Source organism: Homo sapiens, chromosome 6, assembly GCF_000001405.40.
Source record: "Homo sapiens chromosome 6, GRCh38.p14 Primary Assembly".
Classification (NCBI taxonomy): Eukaryota; Metazoa; Chordata; class Mammalia; order Primates; family Hominidae; genus Homo; species Homo sapiens.
Genome location: NC_000006.12, coordinates 44,748,037 through 44,773,100, shown reverse-complemented (window position 1 = coordinate 44,773,100; position 25,064 = coordinate 44,748,037). Strand labels below are relative to the sequence as shown.

The window sequence follows — 25,064 nt, the reverse complement described above, 5'->3', positions numbered from 1 at the left end:
GCTAAATCTGAAAAAATATCTCAAAGATCAGTTCTTTAGGTTTCACAATAGTGATGTCATGTATAGGAGTAGTTGGGGGAAGTTATAAATCTTGCAATCTTTGATTATGTGATGGTGGGGTAGTAAGCAATTTATAGAAAAGCAAACTAAGCAATGGCAGGTTACTATTTATGCTGATTCCTTAACAAAGTTCAAGCCTCCACCATAGTTCTAGCCTTGTCATATGAATGTAGCTTCAATCTCTGGACAAGGAGAGGATCAGTTTTCCTTGCTTCAAACTTTACCTGTGAACTAAAGTCCTCTCATCGTTATCTTGGCCTCAACACTAGAATAAGCAAAAAAACAAAAACAAAACAATAATTTAGCCTGTGAGGTTAGAAGTAACCTCTAACCTCAGTCAGTCATGTTAGATTTCCCTCATTACTTATAATTTTGCGAAGGCAGTTTCAAGACCAGCTTCCAAAAAATGGCATTTGCTTACCTTAAAGAAGGTGCAGAGAAGGGTAGCTTCAATCAAGGTGAAGCAGAGAAGGCAAAAGGAAGCCTGAATATGAGGCTGTTCCCTCAGGCTGCAAGATGAGGCTGTAAAGGAAAGGGGCTGAGACTTAAAGCTGGGAAGGGTGCCCTCCAGAAGAGGACACCCAGGACTTGTGTCCCCATCCCCCTGACCCCCAAGTCTAAGATGAAAGATTCTGCTGGGTGAGGCTGCAGAGTTGAGTTCTGGCAAATAAAAGGAAGGCTGATCTCCTAGGTGGGAAAGTATGGAGCGTGTACTCCCAGCTGGGGTGCTCATGGATGACCTGCATCATTTCTTTAGTAACATAAAGGAGGCCTGTGAATCAGGAAGCTACAGATGTTCCAAAATGTCCCTAACCTCTTGAGGGTGACGTCATCACAGCTCCCAGACATGTTTCTCCTTACTTGGGCCCTGGCCCTGACAGAGGGGGACCTAGGGCTGACCTGGATGGCAATTGTGGAAATAAATGGAATTTATTAAAACTCTCTATTATACGCTGTTCTTAAAGAAATCAAACACTAGCTTTAAAGAAATGTAGTTTTATTTTTTTTCTACGGACAAACAGTATAATCTGAAACAAGCTATTGGCAAGTAGGGGCTTTAGAGCTTCCTTTGGTGCCACAAAGAAGAATGAAGTGGAATTAGCACATCAATTGGTTACAGGTGAAAAATGGGTCTAAAGTATTTAAAAGCTGTTTGTTCTCCTAAGGCAGTTAAGCATTCCCCTCCTCCCTGCCTTCCTTTTTTTTTTCCCTTCTGAGCTCTTCCTGCAGTTAGTAAAGAGGGCAAGCTCTGGCCTGGCCTCTGGCCCAATTATTGCCACTTCCCTGCCTGTGGATTCTCCTCAGCAGAGGTTTTGCCTGCTAATAAGTATCATTTTCTCTAGGCTGGCTTTTACACTTGCCCAGAACTGTCTGAAACTGTAGGCTGCTTCTGTAATCAGCAGCAAAGACAGATGTCTGAGGCTTCTGGTCTTGACTTTTTTTTATTTAAGTTTTCCTACTTATTTGTAAAATTTTATTATATATTAAGGATATTAAACATACAGGTTTGTTACAGAGGTATACACGTGCCACGGTGGTTTGCTGCACCTATCAACCCGTCTCCTGCATTAGGTATTTCTCCTAATGCTATCCCTCCCCTGGCTCCCCACCCCTTCACAGGCCCTGGTGTGTGATATTCCCTTCCCTGTGTCTATGTGTTCTCATTGTTCAACTCCCACTTATGAGTGAGAATATGCAGTGTTTGGTTTTCTGTTCTTGCGTTAGTTTGCTGAGAATGATGGTTTCCAGCTTCATCCATGTCCCTACAAAGGACATGACCTCATCCTTTTTTATGGCTGCACAGAATTCCATGGTGTAGATGTGCCACATTTTCTTTATCCAGCCTATCATTGATGGGCATTTGGGTTGGTTCCAAGTCTTTGCTACTGTGAACAGTGCTGCAATAAACATACGTGTGCATGTGTCTTTATAGCAGAATAATTTATAATCCTTTGGGTATATACCCAGTAATGGGATTGCTGGGTCAAATGGTATTTCTGGTTCTAGATCCTTGAGGAATTGCCACACTGTCTTCCACAATGGTTGAACTAATGTATACTCCCACCAACATTGTAAAAGGGTTCCTATTTCTCCACATCCTCCCCAGCATCTATTGTTTCCTGACTTTGTAATGATCGCCATTCTAACTGGCATGAGATGGTATCTCATTGTGGTTTTGATTTGCATTTCTCTAATGAACAGTGATGATGAGCTTTTTTTCATGAGTTTGTTGGCCACAAAAATGTCTTTTTTTCAGAAGCGACTGTTCATATCCTTCACCCACTTGTTGATGGGGTTGTTTTTTTCTTGTAAATTTAAGTTCTTTGTAGATTCTGGATATTAGCCCTTTGTCAGATGGATAGATTTCAAAAATTTTCTCCCATTCTGTAGGTTGCCTGTTCACTCTGACGGTAGTTTCTTTTGCTGTGCAGAAGCTCTTTAGTTTAATTAGATCCCATTTGTCAATTTTGGCTTTGGTTGCCATTGCTTTTGGTGTTTTAGTCACGAAATCTTTGCCCATGCCTATGTCCTGAATGGCATTGCCTAGGTTTTCTTCTAGAGTTTTTATGGTTTTAGGTCTTACGTTTAAGTCTTTAATCCATCTTGAGTTAATTTTTGTATAAGGTGTAATGAAGGGATCCAGTTTCAGCTTTCTGCATATGGCTAACCAGTTTTCCCAACACCACTTGTTAAATAGGGAACCCTTTCCCCACTGCTTGTTTTTGTCAGGTTTGTCAAAGATCAGATGGTTGTAGATGTGTGGCATTATTTCTGTTCTGTTCCATTGGTCTACATATCTGTTTTGGTACCAGTACCATGCTGTTTTGTTTACTGTAGCCTTGTAGTATAGTTTGAAGTCAGGTAGCGTGATGCCTCCAGCTTTGTTACCAATATCGTGAAAATGGCCACACTGCCCAAAGTAATTTATAGATTCAATGCTATCCCCATCAAGCTACCATTGACTTTGTTTACAGAATTAGAAAAAACTACTTTAAATTTCATATGGAACCAAAAAAAGAGCCCATAAAGCCAAGACAATCCTAAGCAAAATGAACAAAGCTGGTCTTGATTTTTCAGAAAATTTAAGCATCACATCCATGTGGAGGAAACCCTTCCTGTCTGACAGATGTGAGAGAAAAACAAAAAACAAAAAAAAAAAGAACTTTTATCTGGGGAATGTGAGTCCTTTTAAACTATCAGACCCAGAGAGACATTAAAATGAGGCAGCAATCACATCCTACTCCCTCCCTTTTGAGACTTGTATTTATCTCTTGAAACTGCTTGCTACTGCCACAGCTATAAACTAACCTAATAATGCTGCTCCAGGCACTATAACCCACACCCTATAGCTTAACAATGTATAGTCAATCTATAGGTTGTTATTTTTAATGTACAGTCTTGGTAAACAACTTGTTACAGTAGGTAGTCAGGCAGATATGAGCAGGGCAGGAGAGCTTGCCCATCACAACAAGGAAGGTCAGGCGACCATCAGGTGACGGCCAGGCAGTTGTTAACTGTCTCTCTAAAATAACAATTGGTCGCAGTCAGTGCCAGGGAAAAGCAGACTCCCTATAGATTTTTAAAAAAAAACAAAACCTGAAACTGGTGATCAGCAGCTTCCTGATAAGATTTCAGGAGTTGGAAGAGTGGGCTCACACATGCGCACTAAGAGGCAAAATGATGGCGTTTAACAGGTATATGACCCTCCGTGGACATTCCACCAGCGAGGGAAAAAAATGTCTCAAGTGAGCATGTGTACAACTCCAGTACACACACTGTGCATGCTCACCTCCCAAGTGCTAGCAGGCCACTGTGCATGCAGACAACAGACCCCAAGGGAAAAATCAGGGGAGAAAGGATGCAAGACCCTGGAAGTAGGCCAATGTATAAAACCCCAAGGCAAAGGTCAAGCTGACTACTTGCCCTTCAAGTCGCCCACTTGGACCTCTTCCAAGTGTACTTTCCTTCATTCCTGTTCTAAAGCTTTTTAATAAACTTTCGCTCCTGCTCTAAAACTTGCTTCGGTCTCTTCTTCTGCCATATGCCCCTCAGTTGAATTCTTTCTTCTGAGAAGGCAAAAATTGAGGTTGCTGCAGACCCATATGGATTCACCGCCAGTAACTCAGATGCCTGCCACCGGTAACAAACTCAGAAATGGACTCTTCTTTCCCTTCAACAGTGTACTTGTAACTGCTGCCAACTGGAGAGTATATTTGGGACAACTTGAATCAATGCTCCTGGGTTGTAATCTTCAAGCTGGGCCCAAATAAACTTTCTACTTTTATTAATTTTGCCTCAGCTTCTTCCTTTTAGGTCAACATGTCTAGCATAAATCAGCAGGACTCAGAGTGACTCCCCGGGACCCCAACCGCTTGGTGTTTCTCTCAGAAAGCAGCGCTCGGTACCAGCATAAACAGTCTGTCTTCAGAAGTCCCGTTGGGTGTTTCAGATGAGTTTTCCTGAATTCAGACCTCCCACTCTTTGGTTAAAGGTCTAGACTTTCTTTGGACCGTTTTTCAAACTCTTTCTTGAAGAGTGAGGGCTTCAGTCTTTGGACAGGAGATTCTGGTGGAGAGCTCTGTGGGGAACTGCCTTTTTTCCCACTTCTGTCTCACAGCAGAAGTTCGGGTCAAGGTTTTTCCACCTCTGCCTCAGGACCAGAGGTTTGAGTCAAGGTTTTTCTGCCTGCCTCACAGCAGAGACTCAGGGCAAAAGGCTGGCAGTTAGGCACTGGTGGTTTCATTTTACATAGTATGCTTTTAAGATTGTGGCTGTTTTCTATCTCTTGAAAATTCAGGGTTAGCCTTTCATTTGTGACTGGTTCCTGTTTGTTACTAAGTGAAAAGTGTACCCCCGTTTTGCTCTTCCAGACTCTTATAAGGGTCTGGCCCCACATACTTTTAGCATTCTGCTGCCACCTGGCAGTTAGACACACTCAGAGATTCATCACACTTTGACCCTAAACACATTCCCAGCCTCACTTTTGAAAAATTCCTAAATGATGGGAAATCAAGCTTCAAAATCTCAATGCTCCTTTTAAAAACACCAGCTGGATTTATGTAGAACACTTATAGGGTGCCCTCTTGTAGATATCCAGGAACGTGGACCCACCTAACCTGGGATGGTCATAAGCAGCAATGACCAAAAATGAAGGCCTTTAAAAATACCAAAAACAGGCCAGGTACAGTGGTTCACGCCTGTAATCCCAGCACTTTAGGAGGCCAAGGCAGGTGGATCACGAGGTCAGGAGATCAAGAACATCCTGGCCAACATGGTGAAACCCCATCTCTGCTAAAAATAGAAAAATTAGCCAGGTATGGTGGCACGCACCTGTAGTCCAGCTACTCAGGAGGCTGAGGCAGGAGAATTGCTTGAACCCAGGATGCAGAGGTTTCAGTGAGCCGAGATCGTGCCACTGCACTCCAGCCTAGGCAACAGAGCGAGACTCCGTCTCAAAAAAAAAAAAAATTATTTCTGTGAACAATTAGGAACAGCTGGTTTTAGAACCAGATAAATTGAATAGGAGACTTATTTCCAATACACCTTAAAACCTCTAAAAGAAACTCTAACAGAAAAAAATTGCCTCTTCCATTCAACAGGTAAACAAAGGAATATTTGAAACTATTAAAATAGACTTCACAGGCTTTCTCCCTTTCACCTCTCACTGCTCCTTCAGATGAGCCCTGTGATCTACTCATCCCTTTCTGCTTGTTCCCTCAACTCCCATACACCTTTTAGCCAGAGATATTCTGGAATTTTACAGTGTACACATTTCCTTCTCTCAGAGGGGAAAATGAATTTAAATTTAGAACAGAAGGAACAAATGGAGCAACTGCAGGATGGAAATAAAACTACTGTGATTATAAAAATGCAGATCTAACAACTGTCCTAAACCAAGACTAATAAATACACTGATTTTCTGACCCAATATCAAACAATACCCTTTAAACTTTATCGTGTCTTTGAAATGCTAACATCCAGAAAATTAGCAAAGCAGCAGTCCAACTCAAATCAGATCAGAAATAAGTTAAAATCCTTTAAACACTCAAACTTCCTGCTTTGGATCCCCTGCAGGATTGACACACAAAAAAGCACTCCACCCTGTAGTCTAGTGGCCAGGGTGGCCCAGGTTCAATCCCTGGTCAGGGAAATAGTCCGATTTGTTTAAAATTATTTGCATGATTCATGACCTTTTGGGATACTCATTTGTTACTGGTCCTTTTCCCTTTCCGTGGAGAGCTTTTGGGCTCCCTTCTTTTTCCATTTGTGGGGCATATGGGGCTTCGGGTCCTTGTGCACAGGTGCTAGGCTGAAAGGCTGAGATCCAAGAAAACATGGCCAGACAGAAATGTGAGTTTACTCCATTTGCAGCTAGCAAAACCTTCCTTTCTTTGAGCTGTCTTTGGGGTAGTTCTGGATCTTGTGAGGACTGCTTTGAACTTCTTTGGAGATACTTCACGAAACCAACAAAGATCAAAAGACACAAAGAAGGCCATTACATAATGGTAAAGGGATGAATTCAAAAAGAAGAGCTAACTATCCTAAATATATATGCACCCAATACAGGAGCACCCAGATTCATAAAGCAAGTCCTTAGAGACTTACAAAGAGACTTAGACTCCCACACAATAATAATGGGAGACTTTAACACCCCACTGTCAATATTAGACAGATCAATGAGACAGAAGGTTAACAAGGATATCCAGAAACTGAACTCAGCTCTGCACCAAGCAGACCTAATAGACATCTACAGAACTCTCCACCCCAAATCAACAGAATATACATTCTTCTCAGCACCACATCGCACTTATTCCAAAATTGACCACATAGTTGGAAGTAAAGCACTCCTCAGCAAATGTAAAAGAACAGAAATCACAACAAACTGTCTCTCAGACCACAGTGCAATCAAATTAGAAGTGAGGATTAAAAAACTCACTCAAAACCGTTCAACTACATAGAAACTGAAAAACCTGCTCCTGAATGACTACTGGGTACATAACAAAGTGAAGGCAGAAATAAAGATGTTCTTTGAAACTAATGAGGACAAAGACACAACGTATCAGAATCTCTGGTACACATTTAAAGCAGTGTGTAGAGGGAAATTTATAGCACTAAATGCTCACAACAGAAAGCAGGAAAGATCTAAAATTGACACCCTAACATCACAATTAAAAGAACTAGATAAGCAAGAGCAAACAAATTCAAAAGCTAGCAAAAGGCAAGAAATAACTAAGATCAGAGCAGAACTGAAAGAGATAGAGACACAAAAACCCTTCAAAAAAAATCAATGAATCTAGGAGCTGTTTCTTGAAAAGATCAACAAAATTGACAGACCACTCTCAAGACTAATAAAGAAGAAAAGAGAAGAATCAAATAGACACAATCAAAAATGATAAAGGGGGTATCACCACCGATCCCACAGAAATACAAACTACTATCAGAGAATACTATAAACACCTCTATGCAAATAAATTAGAAAATATAAAAGAAATGGATAAATTCCTGGACACATACACCCTCCCAAGACTAAACCAGGAAGAAGTTGAATCCCTGAATACACCAATAACAGGCTCTGAAATGGAGACAATAATTAATAGTCTACCAACCAAAAAAAGTCCAGGACCAGATGGATTCACAGCCAAATTCTACCAGAGGTACAAAGAGGAGCTGGTACCATTCCTTCTGAAACTATTCCAATCAATAGAAAAAGAAGGAATCCTCCCTAACTCATTTTATGAGGCCAGAATCATCCTGATACCAAAGCCTGGCAGAGATACAACAAAAAAAAGAGAATTTTAGACCAATATCCCTGATGAACATTGATGCGAAAATCCTCAATAAAATACTGGCAAACCAAATCTAGCAGCACATCAAAAAGCTTATCCACCATGATCAAGTCAGCTTCATCCCTGGGATGGAAGGCTGGTTCAACATACACGAATCAATAGACGTAATCCATCACATAAACAGAACCAATGACAAAAACCTCATGATTATCTCAATAGAGGCAGAAAAGGCCTTCGATAAATTCAACAGCCCTTCATGCTAAAAAAAACTCTTCAATAAACTAGGTATCGATGGAACGTATCTCAAAATAATGACAGCTATTTATGACAAACCCACAGACAATATCATACTGAATGGGCAAAAACTGGAAGCATTCCCTTTGAAAACTGGCACAAGACAGGGATGCCCTCTCTCACCACTCCTGTTCAACATGGTGTTGGAAGTTCTGGCCAGGACAATCAGGCAAGAGAAATAAATAAGGGGTATTCAATTAGGAAATGAGGAAGTCAAATTGTCCCTGTTTGCAGATGACATGATTGTATATTTAGAAAACCCCACCGTCTCAGCCCAAAATCTCCTTAAGCTGATAAGCAACTCAGCAAAGTCTCAGGATACAAAGTCAATGTGCAAAAATCACAAGCATTCCTATACACCATTAACAGACAAACAGAGAGCCAAATCATGAGTGAACTCCCATTCACAATTGCTACAAAGAGAATAAAATGCCTAGGTATACAACTTACAAGGGATATGAAGGACCTCTTCAGGAGAACTACAAACCACTGCTCAATGAAATAAAAGAGGACACAAACAAATGGAAGAATATTCCATGCTCATGGAGAGGAAGAATCAATATCGTGAAAGTGGCCATACTGCCTAAAATAATTTATAGATTCAATGCCATCCCCATCAAGCTACCAATGATTTTCTTCACAGAATTGGAAAAAAAACTACTTCAAAGTTCTTATGGAACCAAAAAAAGAGCCCACATAGCCAAGACAATCCTAAGTAAAAGAACAAAGCTGGAGGCATCATGCTACCTGACTTCAAACTATATTACAAGGTTCCAGTAACCAAAACAGCATGGTACTGGTACCAAAACAGAGATATAGACAAATGGAACAGAACAGAGGCCTCAGAAATAACACCACACATTTACAACTATCTGATCTTTGACAAACATGACAAAAACAAGAAATGGGGAAAGTATTCCCTATTTAATAAATGGTGCTGGGAAAACTGGCTAGCCATATGTAGAAAGCTGAAACTGGATCCCTTCCTTACAACTTGTACAAAAATTAATTCAAGATGGATTAAAGACTTAAATGTTAGACCTAAAACCATAAAAACCCTAGAAGAAAACCTAGGCAATACCATTCAGGACATAGGCATGGGCAAGAACTTCATGACAAAAACACCGAAAGCAATGGCAACAAAAGCCAAAATAGACTAATGGGATCTAATTAAACTAAAGAGCTTCTGCACAGCAAAAGAAACTACCATCACAGTGAACAGGTGACCTACAGAATGGGAGAAAATTTTTGCAATCTACCCATCTGACAAAGGGCTAATATCCAGAATCTAAAAAGAACTCAAATTTACAAGAAAAAAACAACCCCATCAAAAAGTGGGCAAAGGATATAAACATACACTTCTCAAAAGAAGACATCTATGCAGGCAAAAGACACATGAAAAAATGCTCATCATCATTGGTCATCAGAGACATGCAAATCAAAACCACAATGAGATACCATCTCACACCAGTTAGAATGGCAATCATTAAAAAGTCAGGAAACAACAGATGCTGTAGAGGATGTGGAGAAATAGGAATGCTTTTACATTGTTGGTGGGAGTGTAAATTAGTTCAACCATTGTGGAAGACAGTGTGGCGATTCCTCAAGGATCTAGAACTAGAATTACCATTTGACCCAGCCATCCCATTACTGGGTATGTACCCAAAGGATTATAAATCATACTACTATAAAGACACATGCACACGTATGTTTGTTGCGGCACTGTTCTCTATAGCAAAGACTTGGAACCAACCCAAATGTCCATCAATGATAGACTGGATTAAAGAAATGTGGCACATATACACTATGGAATACTAGGCAACCATAAAAAAGGATGAGTTCATGTCCTTTGCAGGGAGATGGATGAAGCTAGATGAAGCTGGAAACCATCATTCTCAGCAAACTATCACAAGGACAGAAAACCAAACACTGCATGTTCTCACTCATAGGTGGGAACTGAACAATGAGATCACTTGGACACAGGGTGGGGAACATCACACACCAGGGCCTACTGGGGGAGGAATAGCATTAGGAGAAATACCTAATGTAAATGATGAGTTGATGGATGCAGCAAACCAACATGGCACATGCATACCTATGTATCAAACCTGCATGTTGTGCACATGTACCCTTGAACTTAAATTAAAAAAAAAAAGTCATACCTTGGTTAAGCCTTATTGGTTTTGGTGAGTCACTTGGGAGGTTGCCTTTGGTTAAAACAAAAGTTCAAATGCCAGGAATACCAGCTATTTTTCCTGGCTAAAATCTGATAATAAGAGGTATGCAAAGACTTTTTTTTTTTAAGCTCTATGGTTAAAGTCAGCTTAATTAAAAGCTGATATACAAGTTCCTCCTTTCTCTTTGTTGTCTTTGGTCGCACATGAAAGAATCTAGAAGAGACTTCTAATGACTCAAATTCCCTTAAGGCACACAGAAAAGAGTACCACTAACCCTCTTTTTGGGGTATTCTGTCTTCCTGTGGAGTCTGAAGAGTCATGGACGAGTTCCTCTCAGGTCTAAAACTCTGCTTTCTTTTGTATTGTATTACCTGATCTCTTTGGCTTTGAGGGGTACCAGAGATTTCTCTGTACTGTGAGAGAGCACTTGACCTTTGTATGTGTGATGGCTGCTGAGTCAATGGCAAGAGCTGCAGTTTTGGAGGTAGCTGACAGCAGCTGTTTAAAATGAATGGTTATTTTCTAAAAACTTTAAAATTTTTATTTTTGCTTTCTTTTTTCTCTTCCTTACTTTAGGAAGTATAATGAATGGTTACTATTAGAGAGGGCTACTCATTTCTTTGCATGTTTAGATTTAAAAGGCATGATTTAAACACTTAAAGAAATGTGTTTCTAGTAAAGTGCACTGTGAAAGCATTGCGTGGCTCAGTCCCATGGCATTCTCCTCTTTCTGGGAACTCAGGATAAAGTGTAAAAGTGGAGTCCTTGATTTTTAAATATCTAGATGTTCTGCCTCCCAACTGCACCTGCTTTTCACATAAATTATTAGGCCATTAAAAATTACAAATGCTTTGTTGGTCATGTTTCTTAATGGGCTCTGCCCTGAACATAGCAGTCCAGTTGGAAAACAGGCTAAATTAAAAGCTACTTATCTAAATAAAATTGGTCTCCTTATAAAATGCTATGGCATTTTCCTATCATTTGTGTTACCTTGGCATCCATTTTAAATCTTTCTCTAACACACCCAAACTCCTTCTTGAAAGAAGCCAAATTCTCTCTGTCTCTCTCTCTCTGATTTGAGAAGTAAATTTGCTATCATGTTTTCTCTAAAACTCCGTAAGGGCTTCAGCCCTGTGAGAGAGATAAACTTTAACCTTTTTCATTCACAAAGACACAGTTTGAATCCCACCATCCTTTCAAGCTAGTGACTTTTACAGGTCTCATGGTTAAGAGTTTTAAATCAAAGCTATAATGTCTTTATTTGTGCCTGTCTGTATTATGTGTACATATATACATGGCTGTTTGTATATTGGTTGTGATACCATTGACTTATAAATAAATGAGGGCTCATAAGTTAAATAACCCAAATGCTTTTCAGGTCCCTGTGACTTTAGTACTCTTTGGTAAATAAAGATAGTTTTTAAATTGTTGATAAAATAATAGAAATGTCTTCAGAATTTTAGACATTTTTGCCTGGGTCTACTGATCAGATCTGTTTATAATGTCTCTACTAGATATTTTAAAGTCATAAAGCTGTTGCTTTTATGATATTTTTGACACTTGCTTAATTTGTCTGTGAGCTTATGTCTTTGAATTTGGGCCTTTAAATCCTGTGGTATAGATAGTGGCCATGGTGAGGCCTTGGGACAGTGCCTGGGCTGCATCCTCCCTGGGTCAGCTATGCCTCTTGACCATGCTGGAAAGGCTGCATCCAACCTTTGTCCTGGGATCTGCATCTGACACATAAGTAAAATCGGTTCCTAGGTTTTTCACTGAAAATCAGGGTTACTAAGAGTTCACACTGGAATTAATATATGCAATTAAAACTACTAAGTATAAGACAAACAATTCTACATACAGAGTATATAAAGAAAGTAAGATGCAAAAAGAGTTTTTAAAAAGAATAATTTTTTTCCTTTTACATGAGAGAACTTTGTGTGGTCAAAACAAGAGGGCAAGGAAAGTAAATTTTCACCTAAGGTAGAATGCCAATATAAAAAGGGGATATACAACACAAAACTGAAGGTTTAAGCAAGTTGTAGAAGGCCTGTAGAAGATTAATCTCATGAAAAGAATTTTATGTGTGATTAAGTTGGCTAAATTAGAAGGGGATTATTTTTCCTAAAAATGGAGCATATCAAAAATACACTGATGCAGGGCCAGAGTTAGGCCCCTGGGTCAAAATAACAGGGTTTTCTTGGAGCACTGATCTGTTCTTTAATAGAAAATTGTAAAGGTTAAAAGGTTTACAGAAATCTTGTGCAGTCAAAACTGAGATTGAAAGATGGCCGAATAGGAACAGCTCCGGTCTACAGCTCCCAGCATGAGCAACGCAGAAGACGGGTGATTTCTGCATTTCCATCTGAGGTACTGGGTTCATCTCACTAGGGAGTGCCAGACAGTGGGCGCAGGTCAGTGTGTGCGCGCACCGTGCGTGAGCAGAAGCAGGGCGAGGCATTGCCTCACTTGGGAAGCGCAAGGGGTCAGGGAGTTCCCTTTCTGAGTCAAAGAAAGGGGTGATTGACAGCACCTGGAAAATCGGGTCACTCCCACCCGAATACTGTGCTTTTCCGATGGGCTTAAAAAATGGCGCAACACGAGATTATATCCCGCACCTGGCTCAGAGGGTCCTATGCCCACGGAGTCTTGCTGATTGCTAGCACAGCAGTCTGAGATCAAACTGCAAGGCAGCAGCGAGGCTGGGGGAGGGGCGCCCGCCATTGCCCAGGCATGATTAGGTAAACAAAGCTGCCAGGAAGCTCGAACTGGGTGGAGCCCACCACAGCTCAAGGAGGCCTGCCTGCCTATGTAGGCTCCACCTCTGGGGGCAGGGCACAGACAAACAAAAAGACAGCAGTAACCTCTGCAGACTTAAATGTCCCTGTCGGACAGCTTTGAAGAGAGCAGTGGTTCTCCCAGCACACGGCTGGAGATCTGAGAACGGGCAGACTGCCTCCTCAAGTGGGTCCCTGACCCCTGAACCCCGAGCAGCCTAACTGGGAGGCACCCCCCAGCAGGGGCACACTGACACCTCACATGGCAGGGTGTCACTCCAACAGACCTGCAGCTGAGGGTCCTGTCTGTTAGAAGGAAAACTAACAAACAGAAAGGACATCCACACCAAAAACCCATCTGTACACCACCATCATCAAAGACCAAAAGTAGATAAAACCACAAAGATGGGGAAAAAACAGAACAGAAAAACTGGAAACTCTAAAAAGCAGAGCGCCTCTCCTCCTCCAAAGGAACGCAGTTCCTCACCAGCAACGGAACAAAGCTGGATGGAGAATGACTTTGACGAGCTGAGAGAAGAAGGCTTCAGACGATCAAATTACTCTCAGCTACAGGAGGAAATTCAAACCAAAGGCAAAGAAGTTGAAAACTTTGAAAAAAATTTAGAAGAATGTATAACTAGAATAACCAATACAGAAAAGTGCTTAAAGGAGCTGATGGAGCTGAAAACCAAGGCTCGAGAACTACGTGAAGAATGCAGAAGCCTCAGGAGCCGATGCGATCAACTGGAAGAAAGGGTATCAGCAATGGAAGATGAAATGAATGAAATGAAGCGAGAAGGGAAGTTTAGAGAAAAAAGAATAAAAAGAAATGAGCAAAGCCTCCAAGAAATATGGGACTATGTGAAAAGACCAAATCTACGTCTGATTGGTGTACCTGAAAGTGACAGGGAGAATGGAACCAAGTTGGAAAACACTCTGCAAGATATTATCCAGGAGAACTTCCCCAATCTAGCAAGGCAGGCCAACGTTCAGATTCAGGAAATACAGAGAACACCACAAAGATACTCCTCAAGAAGAGCAACTCCAAGACACATAATTGTCAGATTCACCAAAGTTGAAATGAAGGAAAAAATGTTAAGGGCAGCCAGAGAGAAAGGTCGGGTTACCCTCAAAGGGAAGCCCATCAGACTAACAGCTGATCTCTTGCCAGAAACCCTACAAGCCAGAAGAGAGTGGGGGCCAATATTCGACATTCTTAAAGAAAAGAATTTTCAACCCAGAATTTCATATCCAGCCAAACTAAGATTCATAAGTGAAGGAGAAATAAAATACTTTACAGACAAGCAAATGCTGAGAGATTTTGTCACCACCAGGCCTGCCTTAAAAGAGCTCCTGAAGGAAGCACTAAACAGGGAAAGGGACAACCAGTACCAGCCACTGCAAAATCATGCCAAAATGTAAAGACCATCGAGACTAGGAAGAAACTGCATCAACTAACGAGCAAAATAACCAGCTAACATCATAATGACAGGATGAAATTCACATATAACAATATTAACTTTAAATGTAAATGGACTAAATGCTCCAATTAAAAGACACAGACTGGCAAATTGGATAAAGAGTCAAGACCCATCAGTGTGCTGTATTCAGGAAACCCATCTCACGTGCAGAGACACACATAGGCTCAAAATAAAAGGATGGAGGAAGATCTACCAAGCCAATGGAAAACAAAAAGGCAGGGGTTGCAATCCTAGTCTCTCATAAAACAGACTTTAAACCAACAAAGATCAAAAGAGACAAAGTAGGCCATTACCTAATGGTAAAGGGATCAATTCAGCAAGAAGAGCTAACTATCCTAAATATATATGCACCCAATACAGGAGCACCCAGATTCATAAAGCAAGTCCTGAGTGACCTAAAAAGAGACTTAGACTACCACACATTAATAATGGGAGACTTTAACACCCCACTGTCAACATTAGACAGATCAACGAGACAGAAAGTCAACAAGGATACCCAGGAATTGAACTCAGCTCTGCACCAGGCGGACCTAATACACATCTACAGAACTCTCCACCCCAAATCAACAGAATATACATTTTTTTCAGCAGCACACCACACCTATTCAAAAATTGACCACATACTGGGAAGTAAAGCTCTCCTCAGCAAACGTAAAAGAACAGAAATTATAACAAACTATCTCTCAGACCACAGTGCAATCAAACTAGAACTCAGGATTAAGAATCCCACTCAAAGCCGCTCAACTACATGGAAACTGAACAACCTGCTCCTGAATGACTACTGGGTACATAACGAAATGAAGGCAGAAATACAGATGTTCTTTGAAACCAATGAGAACAAAGACACAACATACCAGAATCTCTGGGACGCATTCAAAGCAGTGTGTAGAGGGAAATTTATAGCACTAAATGCCCACAAGAGAAAGCAGGAAAGATCCAAAATTGACACCCTAACATCACAATTAAAAGAACTAGAAAAGCAAGAGCAAACACATTCAAAAGCTAGCAGAAGGCAAGAAATAACTAAAATCAGAGCAGAACTGAAGGAAATAGAGACACAAAAAACCCTTCAAAAAATTAATGAATCCAGGAGCTGGTTTTTTGAAAGGATCAACAAAATTGATAGACTGCTAGCAAGACTAATAAAGAAAAAAAGAGGGAAGAATCAAATAGATGCAATAAAAAATGATAAAGGGGATATCACCACTGATCCCACAGAAATACAAACTACCATCAGAGAATACTACCAACACCTCCATGCAAATAAACTAGAAAATCTAGAAGAAATGGATAAATTCCTGGACACATACACTCTCCCAAGACTAAACCAGGAAGAAGTTGAATCTCTGAATAGACCAATAACAGGAGCTGAAATTGTGGCAATAATCAATAGCTTACCAACCAAAAAGAGTCCAGGACCAGATGGGTTCACAGCCGAATTCTACCAGAGGTACAAGGAGGAACTGGTACCACTCCTTCTGAAACTATTCCAATCAATAGAAAAAGAGGGAATCCTCCCTAACTCATTTTATGAGGCCAGCATCATTCTGATACCAAAACCAGGCAGAGACACAATAAAAAAAGAGAATTTTAGACCAATATCCTTGATGGACATTGATGCAAAAATCCTCAATAAAATACTGGCAAACCAAATCCAGCAGCACATCAAAAAGCTTATCCACCATGATCAAGTGGGCTTCATCCCTGGGATGCAAGGCTGGTTCAATATATGCAAATCAATAAATGTAATCCAGCATATAAACAGAGCCAAAGACAAAAACCACATGATTATCTCAATAGATGCAGAAAAAGCCTTTGACAAAATTCAACAACCCTTCATGCTAAAAACACTCAATAAATTAGGTATTGATGGGACGTATTTCAAAATAATAAGAGCTATCTATGACAAACCCACAGCCAATATCATTCTGAATGGGCAAAAACTGGAAGCATTCCCTTTGAAAAATGGCACAAGACAGGGATACCCTCTCTCACCACTCCTATTCAACATAGTGATGGAAGTTCTGGCCAGGGCAATTAGGCAGGAGAAGGAAATAAAGGGTATTCAATTAGGAAAAGAGGAAGTCAAATTGTCCCTGTTTGCAGATGACATGATTGTATATCTAGAAAACCCCATTGTCTCAGCCCAAAATCTCCTTAAGCTGATAAGCGACTTCAGCAAAGTCTCAGGATACAAAATCAATGTATAAAAATCACAAGCATTCTTATACACCAACAACAGACAAACAGAGAGCCAAATCATGAGTGAACTCCCATTCACAATTGCTTCAAAGAGAATAAAATACCTAGGAATCCAACTTACAAGGGATGTGAAGGACCTCTTCAAGGAGAACTACAAAGCACTGCTCAACAAAATAAAAGAGGATACAAATAAATGGAAGAACATTCCATGCTCATGGGTAGGAAGAATCAATATCGTGAAAATGGCCATACTGCCCAAGGTAATTTATAGATTCAATGCCATCCCCATCAAGCTAACAATGACTTTCTTCACAGAATTGGAAAAAACTACTCTAAAGTTCATATGGAACCAAAACAGAGCCCGCATCGCCAAGTCAATCCTAAGCCAAAAGAACAAAGCTGGAGGCATCACACTACCTGACTTCAAACTAGACTACAAGTCCACAGTAACCAAAACAGCATGGTACTGGTACCAAAACAGAGATATAGATCAATGGAACAGAATAGAGCCCTCAGAAATAATGCCGCATATCTACAACTATCTGATCTTTGACAAACATGACAAAAACAAGCAATAGGGAAAGGATTCCCTATTTAATAAATGGTGTTGGGAAAACTGGCTAGCCATATGTAGAAAGCTGAAACTGGATCCCTTCCTTATGCCTTATACAAAAATCAATTCAAGATGGATTAAAGATTTAAACGTTAGACCTAAAACCATAAAAACCCTAGAAGAAAACCTAGGCATTACCATTCAGGACATAGGCATGGGCAAGGACTTCATGTCTAAAACACCAAAAGCAATGGCAACAAAAGCCAAAATTGACAAATGGGATCTAATTAAACTAAAGAGCTTCTGCACAGCAAAAGAAACTACCATCAGAGTGAACAGGCAACCAACAAAATGGGAGAAAATTTTCGCAATCTACTCATCTGACAAAGGGCTAATATCCAGAATCTATAATGAACTCAAACAAATTTACAAGAAAAAAACAAACAACCCCATCAAAAAGTGGGCAAAGGACATGAACAGACACTTCTCAAAAGAAGACATTTATGCAGCCAAAAAACACATGAAAAAATGCTCACCATCACTGGCCATCAGAGAAATGCAAATCAAAACCACAATGAGATACCATCTCATGCCAGTTAGAATGGCAATCATTAAAAAGTCAGGAAACAACACGTGCTGGAGAGGATGTGGAGAAATAGGAACACTTTTACACTGTTGGTGGGACTGTAAACTAGTTCAACCATTGTGGAAGTCAGTGTGGCGATTCCTCAGGGATCTAGAACTAGAAATACCATTTGACCCAGCCATCCCATTACTGGGTATATACCCAAAGGACTATAAATCATGCTGCTATAAAGACACATGCATACGTATGTTTATTGCGGCAATATTCACAATAGCAAAGACTTGGAACCAACCCAAATGTCCAACAATGATAGACTGGATTAAGAAAATGTGGCACATATACACCATGGAATACTATGTAGCCATAAAAAATGATGAGTTCATGTCCTTTGTAGGGACATGGATGAAATTGGAAATCATCATTCTCAGTAAACTATCTCAAGAACAAAAAACCAAACACCACATATTCTCACTCATAGGTGGGAATTGAACAATGAGATCACATGGACACAGGAAGGGGAACATCACACTCTGGGGACTGTTGTGGGGTGGGGGGAGGGGGGAGGGATAGCATCGGGAGATATACCTAATGCTAGATGACGAGTTAGTGGGCGCAGCGCACCAGCATGGCACATGTATACATATGTAACTAACCTGCACGTTGTGCACATGTACCCTAAAACTTAAAGTATAATAAAAAAAAAAAAAACTGAGATTGAGATTGGATAGATTTGTTTTTTGTTTTTTGTTTTTAATTACACTTTAAGTTCTAGGGTACATGTGCACAACGTGCAGGTTTGTTACATATGTATACATGTGCCATGTTGGTGCACTGCACCCATTAACTCGTCATTTGCATTAGGTATATCTCCTAATGCTCTCCCTCCCCTCCTCCCCCCACACCACGAAAGGCCCCAGTGTGTGATGTTCCCCTTCCTGTGTCCAAGTGTTCTCGTTGTTCAATTCCCACCTATGAGTGAGAACATGCAGTGCTTGGTTTTTTGTCCTTGCGATAGTTTGCTGAGAATGATGGTTTCCAGCTTCATCCATGTCCCTACAAAGGACATGAACTCTTCCTTTTTTATGGCTGCATAGTATTCCGTGGTGTATATGTGCCATATTTTCTTAATCCAGTCTATCACTGATGGACATTTGAGTCGGTTCCAAGTCTTTGCTATTGTGAATAGTGCCGCAATAAACATATGTGTGCATGTGTCTTTATAGCAACATGATTTATAATCCTTTGGGTATATACCCAGTAATGGGATGGCTGGGTCAAATGGTATTTCTAGTTCTAGATCATTGAGGAATTGCCACACTATCTTCCACAATGGTTGAATTAGTTTACAGTCCCACCAACAGTGTTAAAGTGTTCCTATTTCTCCCCATCCTCTCCAGCACCTGTTGTTTCCTGACTTTTTAATGATTGCCATTCTAACTGGTGTGAGATGGTATCTCATTGTGGTTTTGATTTGCATGTCTCTGATGGCCAGTGATGATGAGCATTTTTTCATGTGTCTGTTGGCTGCATAAATGTCTTCTTTTGAGAAGTGTCTGTTTACATCCTTTGCCCACTTTTTGATGGGGTTGTTTGTTTTTTTCTTTTTTTTTTTTAATTACACTTTAAGTTCTAGGGTACATGTGCACAATGTACAGGTTTGTTACATATGTATACATGTGCCATGTTGGTGTGCTGCACCCATTAACTTGTCATTTACATTAGGTATATCTCCTAATGCTTTCCCTCCCCCCTCCCCCCAACCCACAACAGGCCCCGGTGTGTGATGTTCCCCTTCCTGTGTCCAAGTATTCTCATTGTTCAATTCCCACCTATGAATGAGAACATGTGGTGTTTTGTTTTTTGTCCTTGTGATAGTTTGCTGAGAATGATGATTTCCAATTTCATCCATGTCCCTACAAAGGACATGAACTCATCATTTTTTATGGCTGCATAGTTTTCCATGGTATATATGTGCCACATTTTCTTAATCCAATCTATCATTGTTGGACATTTGGGTTGGTTCCAAGTCTTTGCTATTGTGAATAATGCCGCAATAAACATACGTGTGTATGTGTCTTTATAGCAGCATGATTTATAGTCCTTTGGGTATATACCCAGTAATGGGATGGCTGGGTCAAATGGTATTTCTAGTTCTAGATCCCTGAGGAATCGCCACACTGACTTCCACAATGGTTGAACTAGTTTACAGTCCCACCAGCAGTGTAAAAGTGTTCCTATTTCTCCACATCCTCTCCAGCACCTGTTGTTTCCTGACTTTTTAATGATTGCCATTCTAACTGGTGTGAGATGGTATCTCATTGTGGTTTTGATTTGCATTTCTCTGATGGCCAGTGATGGTGAGCATTTTTTCATGTGTTTTTTGGCTGCATAAATGTCTTCTTTTGAGAAGTGTCTGTTCATGTCCTTTGCCCACTTTTTGATGGGGTTGTTTGTTTTTTTCTTGTAAATTTGTTTGAGTTCATTGTAGATTCTGGATATTAGCCCTTTGTCAGATGAGTAGATTGCGAAAATTTTCTCCCATTTTGTTGGTTGCCTGTTCACTCTGATGGTAGTTTCTTTTGCTGTGCAGAAGCTCTTTAGTTTAATTAGATCCCATTTGTCAATTTTGGCTTTTGTTGCCATTGCTTTTGGTGTTTTAGACATGAAGTCCTTGCACATGCCCGTGTCCTGAATGGTATCGCCTAGGTTTTCTTCTAGGGTTTTTATGGTTTTAGGTCTAACATGTAAGTCTTTAACCCATCTTGAATTAATTTTTGTATAAGGTGTAAGGAAGGGATCCAGTTTCAGCTTTCTACATATGGCTAGCCAGTTTTCACAACACCATTTATTAAATAGGGAATCCTTTCCCCATTGCTTGTTTTTGTCATGTTTGTCAAAGACCAGATGGTTGTAGATGTGTGGTATGATTTCTGAGGGCTCTGTTCTGTTCCATTGGTCTATATCTCTGTTTTGGTACCAGTACCATGCTGTTTTGGTTACTGAGCCTTGTAATATAATTTGAAGTCAGGTAGCATGATGCCTCCAGCTTTGTTCTTTTGACTTAGGATTCTCTTGGCAATGTCAGCTCTTTTTTGGTTCCATATGAACTTTAAAGTAGTTTTTTCCAATTCTGTGAAGAAAGTCATTGGTAGCTTGATGGGGATGGCATTGAATCTATAAATTACTTTAGGCAGTATGGCCATTTTCAAAATATTGATTCTTCCTATCCATGAGCATGAAGTGTTCTTCCATTTGTTTGTGTCCTCTTTTATTTCGTTGAGCAGTGCTTTGTAGTACTCCTTGAAGAGCTCCTTTACATCCCTTGTAAGTTGGATTCCTAGGTATTTTATTCTCTTTGTAGCAATTGTGAATGGGAGTTCACTCATGATTTGGCTCTCTGTTTGTCTGTTAATGGTGTATAGGAATGCTTGTGATTTTTGCACATTGACTTTGTATCCTGAGACTTTGCTGAAGTTGCTTATCAGCTTAAAGAGATTTTGGGCTGAGACGGTGGGGTTTTCTAAATATACAATCATGTCATCTGCAAACAGGGACAATTTGACTTCCTCATTTCCTAATTGAATACCCTTTATTTATTTCTCTTGCCTGATTGTCCTGGCCAGAACTTCCAATAACATGTTGAACAGGAGTGGTAAGAGAGGGCATCCCTGACTTGTGCCAGTTTTCAAAGGGAATGCTTCCAGTTTTTGCCCATTCAGTATATTAGCTGTAGGTTTGTCATAAATAGCTGTCATTATTTTGAGATATGTCCCATCAATACCTAATTTATTGAGAGTTTTTAGCATGAAGGGTTGTTGAATTTTGTCAAAGGCCTTTTTTTGCATCTATTGAGATAATCATGTGGTTTTTGTCTTTGGTTCTGTTTATATGCTGGATTATATTTATTGATTTGTGTATGTTGAACCAGCCTTCCATCCCAGGGATGAAGCCCACTTGATCATAGTGGATAAGCTTTTTGATGTGCTGCTGGATTTGGTTTGCCAGTATTTTATTGAGGATTTTTGCATCGATGTTCATCAGGGATATTGGTCTAAAATTCTCTTTTTTTATTGTGTCTCTGCCAGGCTTTGGTATCAGGATGATGCTGGCCTCATAAAACGAGTTAGGGAGGATTCCTTCTTTTTCTATTGATAGGAATACTTTCAGAAGGAATGGTACCAGCTTCTCCTTGTACCTCTGGTAGAATTTGGCTGTGAATCCATCTGGTCCTGGACTTTTTTTGGTTGGTAGGCTATTAATTATTGCCTCCATTTCAGAGCCTGTTATTGGTGTATTCAGGGATTCAACTTCTTCCTGGTTTAGTCTTGGGAGTGTATATGTGTCCAGGAATTTATCCATTTCTTCTAGATTTTCTAGTTTATTTGCATAGAGGTGTTTATAGTATTCTCTGATGGTAGTTTGTATTTCTGTGGGATCGGTGGTGATATCTCCTGTATCATTTTTTATTGCATCTATTTGATTCTTCTCTTTTCTTCTTTATTAGTCTTGATAGTGGTCTATCAATTTTGTCGATCTTTTCAGAAAACCAGCTCCTGGATTCATTGATTTTTTGAAGGGTTTTTGTGTCTCTATCTCTTTCAGTTCTGCTCTGATCTTAGTTATTTCTTGCCTTCTGCTAGCTTTTGAATATGTTTGCTCTTGCTTATCTAGTTCTTTTAATTGTGATGTTAGGGTGTCAATTTTAGATCTTTCCTGCTTTTTCTTGTGGGCATTTAGTGCTATAAATTTCCCTCTACACACTGCTTTAAATGTGTCCCAGAGATCCTGGTATGTTGTGTCTTTGTTCTCATTGGTTTCAAAGAACATCTTTATTTCTGCCTTCATTTTGTTATGTACCCAGTATTCATTCAGGAGCAGGTTGTTCAGTTTCCATGTAGTTGAGCGGTTTTGAGTGGGATTCTTAATCCTGACTTCTAATTTGATTGCACTGTGGTCTGAGAGACAGTTTCTCATAATTTCTGTTCTTTTACATTTGCTGAGGAGTGCTTTACTTCCAACTGTGTGGTCAGTTTTGGAATAAGTGCGATGTGGTGCTGAGAAGAACGTATATTCTGTTGATTTGGGGTGGAGAATTCTGTAGCTGTCTTTAGGTCCACTTGGTGCAGAGCTGAGTTCAATTCCTGGATATCTTTGTTAACTTTCTGTCTCGTTGATCTGTCTCATGTTGACAGTGGGGTGTTAAAGTCTCTCATTATTATTGTGTAGGAATCTAAATCTCTTTGTGGATCTCTAAGGACTTGCTTTATGAATCTGGGTGCTCCTGTATTGGGTGCATATATATTTAGGATAGTTAGCTCTTCTTGTTGAATTGATCCCTTTACCATTATGTAATGGCCTTCTTTGTCTCTTTTGATCTTTGTTGGTTTAAAGTCTGTTTTATCAGAGACTAGGATTGCAACCCCTACCTTTGTTTTCCATTTGCTTGGTAGATCTTCCTCCATCCCTTTATTTTGAGCTTATGTGTGTCTCTGCATGTGAGATGGGTCTCCTGAATACAGCACACTGATGGGTCTTGACTGTTTATCCGAAATGCCAGTCTGTGTCTTTTAATTGGAGCATTTAACCCATTTTCATTTAAGGTTAATATTGTTATGTGTGAATTTCATCCTGTCATTATGATGTTAGCTGGTTATTTTGCTCGTTAGTTGATGCAGTTTCTTCCTAGCCTCGATGGTCTTTACAATTTGTCATGTTTTTGCAGTGGCTGGTACTGGTTGTTCCTTTCCATGTTTAGTGCTTCCTTCAGGAGCTCTTGTAGGGCAGGCCTGGTGTTGACAAAGTCTCTCAGCATTTGCTTGTCTGTAAAGAATTTTATTTCTCCTTCACTTATAAAGCTTTGTTTGGCTGGATATGAAATTCTGGGTTGAAAATTCTTTTCTTTAAGAATGTTGAATATTGGCCCCCAGTCTCTTCTGGCTTGTAGAGTTTCTGCCAAGAGATCAGCTGTTAGTCTGATGGGCTTCCCTTTGTGGGTAACCGGACCTTTCTCTCTGGCTGCCCTTAACATTTTTTCCTTCATTTCAACTTTGGTGAATCTGAAAATTATGTGTCTTGGAGTTGCTCTTCTTGAGGAGTATCTTTGTGGCATTCTCTGTATTTCCTGAATTTGAATGTTGGCCTGCCTTGCTACGTTGGGGAAGTTCTCCTGGATAATATCCTGCAGAGTGTTTTCCAACTTGGTTCCATTCTCCCCGTCACTTTCAGGAACACCAATCAGATGTAGATTTGCTCTTCTCACAGAGTCCTATATTTCTTGGAGGCTTTGTTCATTCCTTTTTACTCTTTTTTCTCTAAACTTCTCTTCTCACTTCACTTCATTCATTTGATCTTCAATCACTGATACCGTTTCTTCCAGTTGATCAAATCAGCTACTGAAGCTTGTGCATTTGTCACATAGTTCTTGTGCCATGATTTTCAGCTCCATCAGGTCATTTAAGGACTTCTCTACACTGGTTATTCTAGTTAGCCATTCGTCTAATCTTTTTTCAAGGTTTTTAGCTTCTTTGCAATGGGTTCAAACTTAGCTCAGAGAAATTTGATCACCTGAAGCCTTCTTCTCTCAACTCATCAAAGTCATTTTCTGTCCAGCTTTGTTCTGTTGCTGGTGAGGAGCTGCGTTCCTTTGGAGTGGGAGAGGCGCTCTGATTTTTAGAATTTTCAGCTTTTCTGCTCTGTTTTTTCCCCAACTTTGTGGTTTTATCTACCTTTGGTCTTTGATGATGGTGACGTACAGATGGGGTTTTGGTGTGGATGTCCTTTCTGTTTGTTAGTTTTCCTTCTAACAGTCAGGACCCTCAGAAGCAGGTCTGTTGGAGTTTGCTGGAGGTCCACTCCAGACCCTGTTTGCCTGTGTATCAGCAATGGAGGCTGCAGAACAGCAAATATTGCTGAACAGCAAGTTTTCCTGCCTGATCATTCCTCTGGAAGCTTCGTCTCAGAGGGGTACCTGGCCGTGTGAGGTGTCAGTCTACCCCTACTGGGGGGTGCCTCCCAGTTAGCCTACTTGGGGGTCAGGGACCCACTTGAGGAGGCAGTCTGTCCGTTCTCAGATCTCAAACTCCATGCTGGGAGAACCACTACTCTCTTCAAAGCTGTCAGACAGGGACATTTAAGTCTGCAGAGGTTTCTG

General features: G+C 40.3%; 1 long non-coding RNA gene across 4 annotated transcripts in view, besides 2 other annotated features; it reads right to left on the bottom strand.

The window, feature by feature from the left end:
* Positions 1 to 25,064, bottom strand: part of LOC101929770 (uncharacterized) — a 105,175-nt gene that overhangs the window by 60,010 nt on the left and 20,101 nt on the right. For 2 of the 4 annotated variants that reach the window (XR_926855.3, XR_007059596.1), the window contains exon 2: positions 482 to 582. The exons of the other annotated variants lie outside the window; for them this stretch is intronic. This is a non-coding gene — a long non-coding RNA (uncharacterized LOC101929770). The remainder of the gene's footprint in view (positions 1 to 481; positions 583 to 25,064) is intronic. 4 annotated transcript variants of the gene reach the window in all.
* Positions 830 to 1,449: an enhancer, noted in NCBI's record as "OCT4-NANOG-H3K27ac hESC enhancer chr6:44739389-44740008 (GRCh37/hg19 assembly coordinates)". NCBI's record gives its function as "activates a minimal SCP1, AML or CMV promoter by ChIP-STARR-seq in naive H9 embryonic stem cells {active_cell/tissue: H9 hESC(naive)}" and the evidence as "EXISTENCE:reporter gene assay evidence [ECO:0000049][PMID:30033119]".
* Positions 12,884 to 13,475: an enhancer, noted in NCBI's record as "H3K27ac-H3K4me1 hESC enhancer chr6:44727363-44727954 (GRCh37/hg19 assembly coordinates)". NCBI's record gives its function as "activates a minimal SCP1, AML or CMV promoter by ChIP-STARR-seq in primed H9 embryonic stem cells {active_cell/tissue: H9 hESC(primed)}" and the evidence as "EXISTENCE:reporter gene assay evidence [ECO:0000049][PMID:30033119]".